The sequence below is a fragment of the Homo sapiens genome, chromosome 5, assembly GCF_000001405.40.
Source record: "Homo sapiens chromosome 5, GRCh38.p14 Primary Assembly".
Classification (NCBI taxonomy): domain Eukaryota; kingdom Metazoa; phylum Chordata; class Mammalia; order Primates; family Hominidae; genus Homo; species Homo sapiens.
Window position 1 is genome coordinate 64601325 of NC_000005.10, and position 12785 is coordinate 64614109.

General features: G+C 38.3%; 1 protein-coding gene across 5 annotated transcripts in view; it reads left to right on the forward strand.

Annotated features, from left to right (window-relative positions):
- Positions 1 to 10995, forward strand: part of RGS7BP (regulator of G protein signaling 7 binding protein) — a 106305-nt gene extending 95310 nt beyond the window's left edge. For 3 of the 5 annotated variants that reach the window (NM_001029875.3, NM_001271890.2, NM_001271891.2), the window contains one exon: positions 7837 to 10995. In NM_001029875.3, the coding sequence (NP_001025046.1) occupies positions 7837 to 7928 (92 nt within the window). In that variant the 3' untranslated portion in view covers positions 7929 to 10995. Of the gene's footprint in view, positions 1 to 80; positions 166 to 7836 lie in introns of all 5 variants that reach the window. The other 2 variants (XR_948251.4, NR_073511.2) reach the window with 1 other exon arrangement.
- Positions 10996 to 12785: the final 1790 nt, after the last annotated feature.

The window sequence follows — 12785 nt, forward strand, 5'->3', positions numbered from 1 at the left end:
TGGCCGTCAACTCCAAAACTGTTCCATGTTTATTTCAGCATTTAAAGACTTAATCATATCTTCTCCCCTTTCTACTACAGTCAAAACTCGGCTCCACAATGGTTTACTTTAAATCAACTTTCAGTGGAGAAGAAAGGAAGGTGGCCAAGGGCAGGAATTTTAATGGTTAGTGATTATGCCTTCATTTTCAGCCTTTTCTTTCCCGTCCATCCAGTTTAAGACTGGAGGCCAAGAGATGCACGAAAGAAAAGCAAGCCACCCTTGCACTGCTGAGTTCCACTGCAGGCTGCAGACAAGGGCCAGGTCTCCTGGCTGTCAGCCCGCTGTTCTTTCCCCTGCTTCAGCGCCCCTCCTGTCCTACATTCTAGGACACTGGCAGTGCTGTAGGGAGCTTCATTAATTATGATAGTCTCGCTGTGTCAAATGGATTACAAATGGAACCACCTGTGGGGAGCCTGCAAGGTTACGGACAGAGGCTAAAAGGAGATTGGAAAGTGAAGGACAAGCATCTTCTAAATGCATGCTGTTATCAAACAAAACAAATCAGCAGAAATAAATTAAGCCTGAAGGACAGTTTTGCCTTTTCCAAAATTCTGACTTAGTGAATGCTGTGGGAGGTGTCAGTATGTTCATTCTTGCATAGAATTTGGTCGTTGATGCCATGCACGAGAATCAGTCGAGAAGTAGGTAAGTCAGGAATTGACCTGGGCTAGAATGAGTCCCCTCCTGTGAACAGTACTACTCCAGACTAATGTGGGCCTAGAGATAGTTCTCCCAAACTCATAGCATCCTCCTCCAATCAGGACCCCCACATCCAGAACCGAACCTGGCTGTGTGAGGCAGAAGAATTCTCAGATATCTGGCTGAAGAACACTGGGCAGTTATGCCACCATCTAGCCTAGAGATGACCTTTTAGGTCCTTCCCCCAAGGGCCTCGTAAAGACTTTCTATGTTTCTAGCTGCTGTCTGAAAATTATTCTGGGCAGTTTTACCAGTAGCCCCATATCCTTTGCAATTTCTGCAATCTCTTGTCCAAGATTCAGTGTGACGTATGTAAACCAATCTAATTTCTTAATGCATTACTCTATTATGTTGAGCTCCTACTCACAAATGTGAAATGTCTACTCACTATCTACTGAAGGAAGAACAGACCTCTCACCCCAGCAGCCTTTGTCCCCATCCTCATCCAACATATAATGGTCACCAATGATGTGTCAAATTCTGTGCTAGGTGCTGAGGAGGTCTCTCCTCCACTAAAACCTGTCCCTTTCAACAGGGAAAAATTGGATGGGAATCACCTAGGAAACTTTTCCAAATGCCATATGCCTCCTCTCTCACAGATTCTGGTAGAGCCTTCAGGGTTGGGCTGAAAACAACTATTACATATGCAGACACACACACACACAATCGGAAAGACGCAGAAATTAGTGCTCACAATATAATAATGCCATAACAGTTAGATATGGGTTGCTACAAGGTATATTAGATTCTCACCTAGCCTAGGCTTTAATTGAAAATGGGGGATTATTAGGGATTGCTTTTTAGAAAGTATCTGTGCTGAGAATTTTTAGGATGAGTAGCACTTAGCCAAAGAAATAGAAAAAAGATAGTCTAGGCAGAAGATTCTGGATGTGTGAAGGCATATGGGGAGATGAAATAGGAGGGGATTTTGATAACTGCAAGGACTTAAGTAGTTGGGAAAGTCTCTAGACAAAAGGCTTAAGAGAGAGACAAGAGAGAGACAAGAGCTGTATCATTAAGACCCCTTAGGCCATGTTAAGAGGTTTGGGAGCCACTGGAAGGAGTCCATAAGGAGGCAGGTGCAGTCATCCAGGTGAGAAATGCTTAAGATCTCACCTAAAGTCAGGGGATTGGAGAGGAGGACAGAGACAATTGGATGTGGTGCATAAGGAGAAGCAGAATCAAGGAAGAAACCCAAGTTCAGACTTGGAAAATGGAGTAAATAACGATGTTGGTCACCAAGTTAGAGACAACAGAGGAGCAGTAGTAAAGGCAGAGAACAACAACTTTTGGACATGGGGGGAACTTTCTGGAGCAGTGCTCAGTGGTTAATAGTGCTGAAGTGAGACATGTGATCTGAGAGGACTGAAACACAGATTTGAGCATCATCAGCATAGTGGGAATTGAAGCCCTACCAACAGTGTGCACAGACAAGAGTCCTGGAATACCAAAATGGAAGGTTTGAGAGGAAAGATCAGTTTACAAAGGGGACTGAGATGAAAATCACAAGAGCATTATTAAATAAATCAAAGAAGGTTGCAAAGAAGGAATGGCCAGTGGTGAAGTTAAATACGAATTGGAAGTGTCCACAGGATTTAACAACAAGGTAGTCACTTGTGGTGTTGGCAAAAACAGCTTTCTTGGAATTTTGGGCATGGAAGCTTGGCTAAGGAGGAGGGGAAGTGAATGGCAGATGATGAGCTGGGGCAGCCGGGGTAAATTCATTAAGACTTTTATAAAGAGTTGCTTACAGAGCGGTGGGAAGATGGGATTGGATGCAGATGATGTGCCAAGAGCTGTAGCAATTGTTTATAGAAGCAATGGGAACGTGAAGGAATGCAGAAGCATGGAGCAGTCAGAAAAGACTGCAGGAAAAAAAATGTTTAAGCTAATCTTTGAAGAAGGGCTTGCCATTTGTCTAAGGAGGGAGGACTTTTCTGAAAAGAGAGGTGGCAAGTGCAAAGGCAGCAGGCAAAAGAAAGTACAGGCATCGTTAGGGAATTCTAAGTAACTCTGTTTTGGACTATCTCCTCCTTCATAAGCCCTTCATTCCAGCCAGACTGGACTGTTCACTTGGACCCAAATTCAGGCTGCCTTTGATCACTTCTCTTTATTCACACTGTTCTCTCCATTCTGAAGGCCTATCCCCTGCCACCTTCACCAAATGTCCAAGTTCTCATTCCTCGTGGCCCAGCATGAACTCCCAGGGCCTCCGTGAATCTTCCATAAACATCTTTTTCCTTCTCCTCCAAATGGGAGGAATCTCCCCCCCTTCTCCTGCCTGGCATTCTCATAGCAATGTATTCAGATCTTTCTTACGGCATTTTTCATGAAGCCTTATAGTTACTCAAGGAAAGATCCTTGAGGCCAGGGACTATCTTTCTATTAGGATCCATCTTGGTATTATCCTCAGTACCCAATGTAGAGCCTTGGACTTAGCAGGCCTTCTGTTAATCCAGTGGTTCTCAAAGTGTGCTCTTAGGACCAGCAGCAATGTCTGGGAACTTGTAAGAAATGCTGATCCTCTGGCCCCACCCCAGAGCTACTGACTGAGAAACTCTGGAGGTGGGGTCAGCAATTTGTGCTTTAACAAGACCTAAGATGAGGCTGATGCAGCTAATGTTTGAGAACCACTGGCTTAGCTGAGGGTCTCTCTCTTTTTTTCCCTGGAATAGATATTTGTAACTGCAGTGTAGTAGAAGCATTCCTTATCACCTATATAAGAAATCTTTTATCAGCAAAATAAATTTGAGCAATAGAGAAGTGGTTTGGGGGAATTGCAGTGTCCCTGGCTTTAGTAGCATTCAAGAATTAAATGTTGAGGCTGGGTATGGTGGCTTATTCCTATAATCCCAGCACTTTGGGAGGCTGAGGTGGGAGTATTGCTTGAGGCCAAGAGTTCGAGTCCAGTCTGGGCAACGTAATGAAACCCTGTCACTCCAAAAATAAATAAAATTTTTTTTAAAAATCTAAAAGAATTAAACATTGAATGACTGAGGTTTGAACTTACTGGTGTCCAAATTTCCTATTCTCCCTCTTTTTTTTTTTACTTTCTCCTGTGCTTTACTTACTCTGCTTCCCTTTCCACCTTTCATTTTCACATTTAAAACTGTCTTAGGTTATAGTTTTCTGAGAGTGAGTACTTTGGAGAAAAGATGATATAAAAGTCTTAATTAGAAGCCACATCTAAACAAAAATTTGCAATAAAAAGCAAAGATTTTCCAATAAGTTCAAGTGGATTATTCCAGAAAATTTAGAATGAGTGGGGAAACATTCCCTTTTGCTTACATTCTTGCAGTCCTTCTGTTTATTCAGTGGTTCTCATAGGGTGGTTTTAGGACTAGCAGCAATGTCTGGGAACTTGTAAGAAATGCTGATGCTCTGGCCCCACCCCAGAGCTGCTGAGATAGGCTTTCAGAGACAGGATTTCAATCAATGTGGAGAGACACATTTCCTTGGAGCTGAATTCACTTCAAACCATCCCAGGAATACTTACTGCTTGGTAAATTTCAGCATTTACTGCAGGTGTCAGCTCCCTATGGTGTAGAAAGCTGCTCTGAATTTCTGCCAATAATTTTTTAGCTTTTCTATTACCTCAGCCTTAGGTGATAGTCAGACAAGCTCTAAGCAAGGCAAAGGTCTCACAAATGTGCAGCAAAGATGCCCCAAACCAGCAGTTGTCCTTAATAGGCAGCCTGACCTTTCTTCATGTCTGAGCACTTTCTCATCAATCCTAACAATTTATTCACTTGTGAGAGAGATATATAGTACACATAAATATATGTGTATATGTGGGTATGTATGTGTACATAATGTGTATATATATGCTATATATATGTATATCTGGATACATATATATATGCTATATATATGTATATCTGGATACATATATATATGCTATATATATGTATATCTGGATACATATATATATGCTATATATATGTATATCTGGATACATATATATATATATATATAGAGAGAGAGAGAGAGAGAGAAGGCTGAGCGAGAAGAATTTCAATAGCTCAAAAGGCTGTGCTATTGAAAGGTTTTTAGGTTTTTTTTAATCCACTGTAGTGAGTGCATCACAGATATAAGGGTGAACCTTGAAACAAATTTCATAATATCTGTGTATAATACCTACTTGCTTTTAATATATACAAAAACAAGACAGTGGAACTAAATATATGACCACAACATACACGTACACATTTTCCTTTGTAAATACAACATTGTGGTAGGTATTTCCTCATGTAAGAGGAGCAAACACATCAGAGTTGCATTCTATAATGTATAAAGACCACTTCAGTCTCTCCCCAAATTAGATGTCTTTGGGGAAAGGGAAGGAGATACCAGAATTTAGAAAATAGATCTTCCAAGTCTTAAATAAAGAACACTATGAAGATCTTTCTTTCCCATAAATATCTTCATAGTTTTGGTGACTCTGTTTTAGGGAAGCATTGAATTCCAGGTGAATTTGAGTTTCAGAAAGTGTATTCAGAGTCCAAAGAGACACTGAAAGGTAAAATTCTTTACCCCTCAGAATTTGCTATATCTTTGCCATATCCAACTAGGTTAAGTACATTGATCAATTCATGGTTAAAGAAGTAAGAGTCCTAAAAATGATGAGAAAATTAGTTATTTCTTTCTGCTCCAAATATTTCATGGTTTATCTCTGAGATGTTCTCCTGAAAACTGAGGCTAATGTTTAGTATCTAACACTGTTTTCAGTTTCTTAACTATTGGGAGCAAGTTAACTTTAAAAGAAAGATATCCTCTTTTTAACTCTCATAATGTTGACATCCAGATTATAGTAAATTATTTTTCACTATGGAAAGGACAATTATAGCCCTGTTTTTCTCCATGTTAACAGAATATGAGCTTTAAGAAAGGATTTTAATCTCTGGAGACTGGGAGGGTGGACTGTGTTTGATTCATTTGATATGCCCAGCGGAGGCACCTGTTTTCTTCTCTGGCTTGGACTTGCTACTCTAGCTCTATCTAAATATATAACATAGTGCAACATTCCAAGGAACACTGTCAACCTTGGTGGGTGATACTAATTTACAAATAAGTATGACACATTAGAGCCTTTGGGAAGGGGAGGAGAAGCCCAGGCACTTAGATGACACTTTATGTAAGAGGACTGGAAAGCCAGAATCTATTTTTGCTCTCAACAGTTTCCTGAGCATTGTAAACCAAAAAGTATCTGAGACACATCTCAGTCAATGTAGAAATTTATTTTGCCAAGATTAAGTACATGCCCATGACACAGCCTCAGGAGGTCCTGAGAACATGTGCCCAAGGTGGTCAGGCTACAACTTGGTTTTATACGTGTAGGAAGACATAAGACATTAATCGATACACATAAGATGTATATCGGTTTGGTCTGGAAAAGCGGGACAACTGGAAGCGGGGCTTCTAAGTCATAGGCAGATTCAAAGATTTTCTGATTGGCAGTTGCTTGAGTTATTATCTAAAGACCGGGAAGCAACAGAAAGAAATGTCTGGGTTATTATGATAGGGGGTTATGGAGACCAAGGTTTTATCATGTAGATGAAGCCTCCAGGTAGCAGACTTCAGCAAAAATAGATTATAAATGCTTCTTATCGGACGGAAGGAGTCTGTTTTATCAGTCTTAAGGTCTCTGTGTTGATGTTAACTCCAGTCAGCTTTGTCTAAATTCCAAAAGGGAGGAGGATATAATGAAGAATGTTCAACTGCCTCTTCCCAACATGGCCTGAACTAGCTTTTCAAGTTAACTTTGGAATGCAGTTGGCTGAGAGGAGGGGGCCATTCAGGTGGTTGGGGGGTTTACAATTTTATTTTTGGTTTACAGCATCTAGGCTCAGTAATCAGGAAAAACAAGCCCTCTTCTACGAATCAGTTCGATTGAGGTGGGGCACATTCTTCACTTTAGCTATCTCTTCATCTAACTTCTGCTTCTGTGCCCTTTGCCAAGCTTCCATCCCCTTTAAGGTTAGGACAGGGAAAGGAGGGAACTCCTTAGCCCCACTCTGGAAGGAAAGTGCAACTAGTCTTGGCGGAGCTTAGGTACGTAACAGTCACCAATGCCAACCATCTTGTTGCCCTTAGCTCCAGTCTGACCATGTCATAACACTGCCCCAGTTGGAAAATTCTAGATTATCCCCTCATAGTCCTTTGCCTCTGGGACCCACATTGACAAGTTCTGCTTCAACAGGATATTTCTACCCACCTTCTCTTTTGCTTTGCACTTTTTTAAATAACCCAACTCTTTAAACCAGATTAGATTTACTGGTTTATTTCTACCTCTACCTGTCATCATCCTAAAAATTTCAAACCAAAACTTATTAATTCAACAGCTGGCAGTCTTCTATGAATGCCCTTGTGTACAGAAATCTATAGAAAGTGCTGGGGAAAGACTCAATAGGAAATAGTTGAAACATGAAGAGACATGAAGTCAATGAATGAAGGTGTGATAATGATCCAATGTAAAGGAAAATAGTTAATAATAGCTATTTTAACTAAACGCTTCCTCTATGCTAGACAGTAAGCTACTCACCATAGCTAAATGTTTTTCATAGATTATTTCATGTAATCCTCACCTGGGCTAAGTTTTATTAAACTCTATTTTACAGACAGCTTAGCAAGCTTCAGTTACATGTTCAAAGTCACAGAACTGGCAAATAGCAGAGGCAGGTTTAGAAAAGAAGCCAACCTTACTCATAAGCATGGGTTCTTTCAAATAAGGTATATACGTTTCCCAACTGAAAGATTGCCTCTAAGCAGTTTCAATTCAATTTTAAGCAGTGGTTCTCAGCCTTGAACTCTTTTGCCTCCCACCCCAGGGAACATTTGGTCATAGCTGGGGATATACTTGGTTGCCACAAATTGTCATACAGTGCTACTGGCATCTGATGAATTGAGGGATGCTACTAAACATTCCACAGTGCTCAGGACAGTACCCCACAACCAAGAATCATCTGGTCCAAAATGCCAACAGTGCTGAGGTTGAGAAATCCTGATTAGGAGGATGGTGGATTTTTAAAGCCACTTCCTAAAAAGCAGGTTGTTGTGTCTATACCTCACTTATGTGCACATTATGTCCCATCACAGATGACAGCAGCCTTCTGAATCTAACTCCCTACCCCCTGGTGAGAAGACGGAAGAGAAGGTTCTTTGGGCTGTGTTGTCTCATCTCAAGCTAGGTGGCTCCTCCTGGAAACCCACTGAGAACATCTGAAAAAAAATCACAAAACCCGAGGACCTCCAGACAGCTGAACCACACAGTTATTGGTTTTTGACTATGTTTTCTATGCTTCCTTATTACTTTTATCTGCCTCCCCCTGCCCTTTTAAATGATTTTACACTTGAAAGCAGCTGCCGTCAAGAAAAAAAAGAACAGATTCAAAAACCAGGCTGTTTTTAAAAGGGAATTTTAAAGCTGACATTGTGCATGTCTGCTCCAAACCACGCCATGACAGATGCAAGAATTATGATTTTTAAATTATTTAAAGGTTTTTTAAATGTATTATACAGAGGAAAAATATTTCACATATAATAGTATATCTATAGCTCTTGCTGATCTCATGTTAAAATTTATCGTATATGAAAGAAGTCTTTAAACATAGAAATCTATTTAAAACTGAAAAACTGTGTTCAAAAATCCAATCTATCAATATCATTAGAAATAATATTATAAGCAAACATATACCACCTCACCTATTGCTTTCTCTGCACTCATTTACATTTAGTCTTCCATTCTGTCAGAATCTAAGAGCTTCAACATAAAAGTATCTTAATTTATAAAGCAACAAAAACCACATATGAAAAGTACTAAAATTTTGTAAATACACAATAATCCTAATACCTTCGTACAAATGCATATGGGCAACTAATTTCTTTTTGATCCAATGATGTCTTTTTCAGCTTCTTGGAGAATGAAGTAATCCAGTTAGGAAATGGTGTAGTAACATATACAATTGCCCTCAAATGTAAAATCAAATATTATTACATTTTGTTCTAATTGAAATCTGAAGCATGGTGTCTGCACATCAGCATAGTGTTAAATCTTATAGGGCATGCTGGAATTAGCTCAGATTATAAAAATATTTAACATTTTACATTGTTAATAAAGTTTTTTAGTTAAGCTAAGCTTGTCTCATTTTAGATGACTATGCAGATAAGATTTTTCCAACGTGTACTTGGTGTCTTGTCTTATGCTTAGACTCTTGAAAGCAGGACACATTAAGCAATACTATATTTTAGAAAGGAGGAAGCCACATGCTTTGTTTTTCTGCTCACAGCTTTGTTGTGATCTTCCTTCACTAAACTTGTAACATGGTACAAATTTTGTTATACCGTCTCCTGTTCTTCCTTTGGCCCATTTCCCAGACAGAATTTCCCATGGGTTGAGAGATCAAGTCTTTGCACTTTTTTTCTTGTTTTCCATAGTCTGAAAAACCTTCAAGTCAGACAGGAGGCACCAGTGTCCAGTACAATAGAAGGATGAGCTAGATGCCGATAAGTGGTTTATCCAAGACACATCTTTAGTCCCAACCCTGTTCTTTACCAATACTTATGTGCACAGGCATTTATATGTATACCAATATTTTTACCTAAAAACTAAATATATTAAGGCCTTTTGCTTTAGTGAAGATGAACTACTGTAATAATTATTGTATTAGGTTGAATTATATGAAATTTCCTATATGTGACTGTTTTGACCTACAAAATGGCAATTTCTTATAGTTCACCCTAATATCCAATGTGGAAATTATACTTGGAATTGTCTTCTAGCTCTTTTGATTGAAAGTGAAAGAATTAAAGGGTTGGAAGAGAACGTTATACAGGTCTCTATTTAGATCATACCAGCTGGTTTTTGGCCTTATTCTTTGAATCTAGAGTTGTGTTCCAAGGAACCAGTAATTAATGCATGGTTATAGGTATACCTGGCTTCAAAAAAAAGAAGTAGCCGTGGAAAGCTATATGAGAAAATCACAATTTTCTGAATCAAATATTTGTAAAACAATTTGGCTATTTAAAGACTCTTAGGGTAAATACTCCCTGGAAAAGCAAGCAATCCAGACTTATCTGGTCTGCAAACCTTGATTTCAGCTTAATATCCTTTCCTGAATCTAATTCATTTTCACCCACTAAGGTCATTTCATTTAAGATCCATTGTTTTTGAAATTTTGAAGTAGCCCAGTTTGGCAGCTCTCAGCACCTGCCTCTGCCCTCTCCTATACTTCAACTATATTGAACTCTAGCTTCAATCTAGTTCCTACTAATCCATGCAAAAGTTATTAACTGATAAGCCCAATCTTGTTCAGCACGTTCTTCTAAATGCCTGACCTAAATAACTTCTGCTTGGTTAACTTGTGTTCATTCTCACCTTAGCCTCAGTGTGAAAGTAACACTTACCTTCTGTGCAATTGTCCTTTGTACAACTGAAGACTGTTAATAAATTCAGGTCTCACCTCCATGTCTGAAAAGGCTATAGTAGCTATTCATGGAGATGGGAATTTGTCTAATTACCTAGCCAGAGTTTGCATATTTAAGGTAATATATTCAGCTACCGTATCTTTTATTCATAGTGCCTGTTTTCCAGCCTTTGATCAGTTTTGTAGTTCCCGTGGATAAACTCCAAGATCTAAAGATCCTCTTTCAGTAGCATATACTAAAATTAAGTTTAGTGCTCAAAACCCTGGTAACCTACACTGGCCCAAGGTTACAGTAGGTAATTCACCGTCTCACATTAGACAGGCCAATGCATCCCTTAGGAGCTGCCCCACTCTCCTCTCACCTACCAAAGGATTTTCTCAGGTGTGGTTCCAAGCGATAAAGTTCTACTGTCTCGGCTTCCTGCTGGTAATTCGCTTTCAGATTAGCAATAACACTGAGCTGATCTCTAGGGTTAAGAAGAGAACATTGAACTCATTTTGTCGCATGTACCCACAGGCTTGAAACAGAAAATGATGTAAACTTTTGTGGCATACATTCACCCATTTTCCCACCATATCTTTACTATCCTGTGTTGATTTTTTTTTCAAATTACAAAGACAATACATGTTCTTTGTGGGAAATCTGAAAAATACTACCAAATAGAAAATAAAAATCACCTGAATTCCACCACGACCACATTGTTTAAAACCACATTTCTGGGTTTTAAATCAGTCAGTGGCTGGGCCCAAAGGCACTTTTGGGTAAGATAAGTGAAGAAATGCCCACAAGGCCAAGGTGTCACTTAAAAAAACAAACAAAAAAAACAAGCCAGAAAAAAAAAATTCTGTCCGCTAATGTTTTGCACGCATCTAGGAGCAGACTCACTGCAAACCTCTGGTTATGCCATTATTCAGGGGTATAAAGAAAGCTTTAGAAGTAGCATAGTCCTGATGCCTCCTCTAATGAGTTAAAGCTCTTGGGGGAAATTCTAAAATTGCCAGACCATTTTGTTTCTCTGTGCTCCTACGAAACCAGTCGGGATACTGAGTGTTTGGCAATACTGCCACCTACTGAAAGCTGAGCTTCAGAGTGAGGTGAAATAAAGACAGAATGTAAAAGCATCTACTTTGTTTTAAACAGCAAACAAATGGACCAGATTAACAATGATCCCATCTGGAATTTAAAACTCTGAAAGTGTCAACATTGAAAGGATTAAGCATATCATCCGGTCAAACTTCCCACCCTACCCACATACCCAGGCAACGTCTATCATTTCTTTGTCTTAGGAATGTCACCAAATACAAAATGCTCAACTTTCAGGTAACCATAGGTAGGATGAGAAAAAGCTGTGATACTATTGGCCTCAGGATAAATTATTAGAATTAAATATATAGACCATAATAGACCTAAGAATATAAAAGAATTGGGTATATTATAAAAATGACATTTCAGATCTATCAGAAAAGTTTGGATTATTAATTTATATTGGGATAGCTGGTTAGCTATTTCTTGAGAGAAATATTAGACCTATACCTCATAATTTTTATCAGAATAAATTCCAGATGAAATAAAGATTTACATATTCAAGCACATAAATAAACATACAACAAGACTAGCAGGCAATGTGAATGGATATTTATATAATTTTAGTGTGAAAGAAGCCTTTCTTTGAGTGACACCAAAGGAAAAAAACAGAAAGAAAGGATGGATGGAATTTGACTGATTAAAAATGCTAAACTCCTATATAGTAAAAAATAACAAACCAAATTGAGAAAACAATATATGCTACAAAAAGTATAGATCTCAAATACATATTAAGAGCTTAAACATCACTACTTTTGGGACATTTCCATGATCTACAATCCCCTTCTCAACCAAGTGTTTCCATTTCATTCTTTCCTTATTGAACGTTTTCATTATTGCTTGTTTAATTGCCTGTTTATCCCTATTAAATTGGAAGTATAAGAAGGCAGCAACCATGTCTATTTTGCTTATTGTTGTATCCATAACACCTAACACAGTGCTACACAAAGCAAATGCTGAAAACATACTTATTGAATGAGTGAATAATGAATGAATAAATGACATTTTATAATTCAAGGAGAATCAAACTTTCCAACAGAAAATTGGACCAAGAACACAAACTGGCAATGCACAATAAACTAAAATAACCTACTAATAATAAATATGAAAAAGTGTTTTAATATACTAGTAATAAAAAATGCAAGTTAATATGATATATTCCTTTTTATATGTCAGAAAGGCAAACGGTATAAAGAATTAAAATTCCCAGGGACAAAAAGGAAGTACAGAAATAAACCTCTTACAGAGTCAACAGGAATGTAAATTGATTCCACCTTTCTGAAAAAATATTTTGGTAATATAGTTTTCCTGCATGCCTAGTAATTCCACTTTAGGGAAATTCTCCTTTAAATGGGTCAGAAAATAAAATGAGCTAAGATGTATTTATTCATTATTCAAAAAGTATATGCAAGAAAGGATGTTTATAGCAGCATTATTTGGATAAGCAGAAAAATGTAAATAAGCCTACTTTATAGGGTTGGTTAAATATGGTACATCCTTTCAATGGAATACTGTGTACCAGTTAAGAATAAGCACCA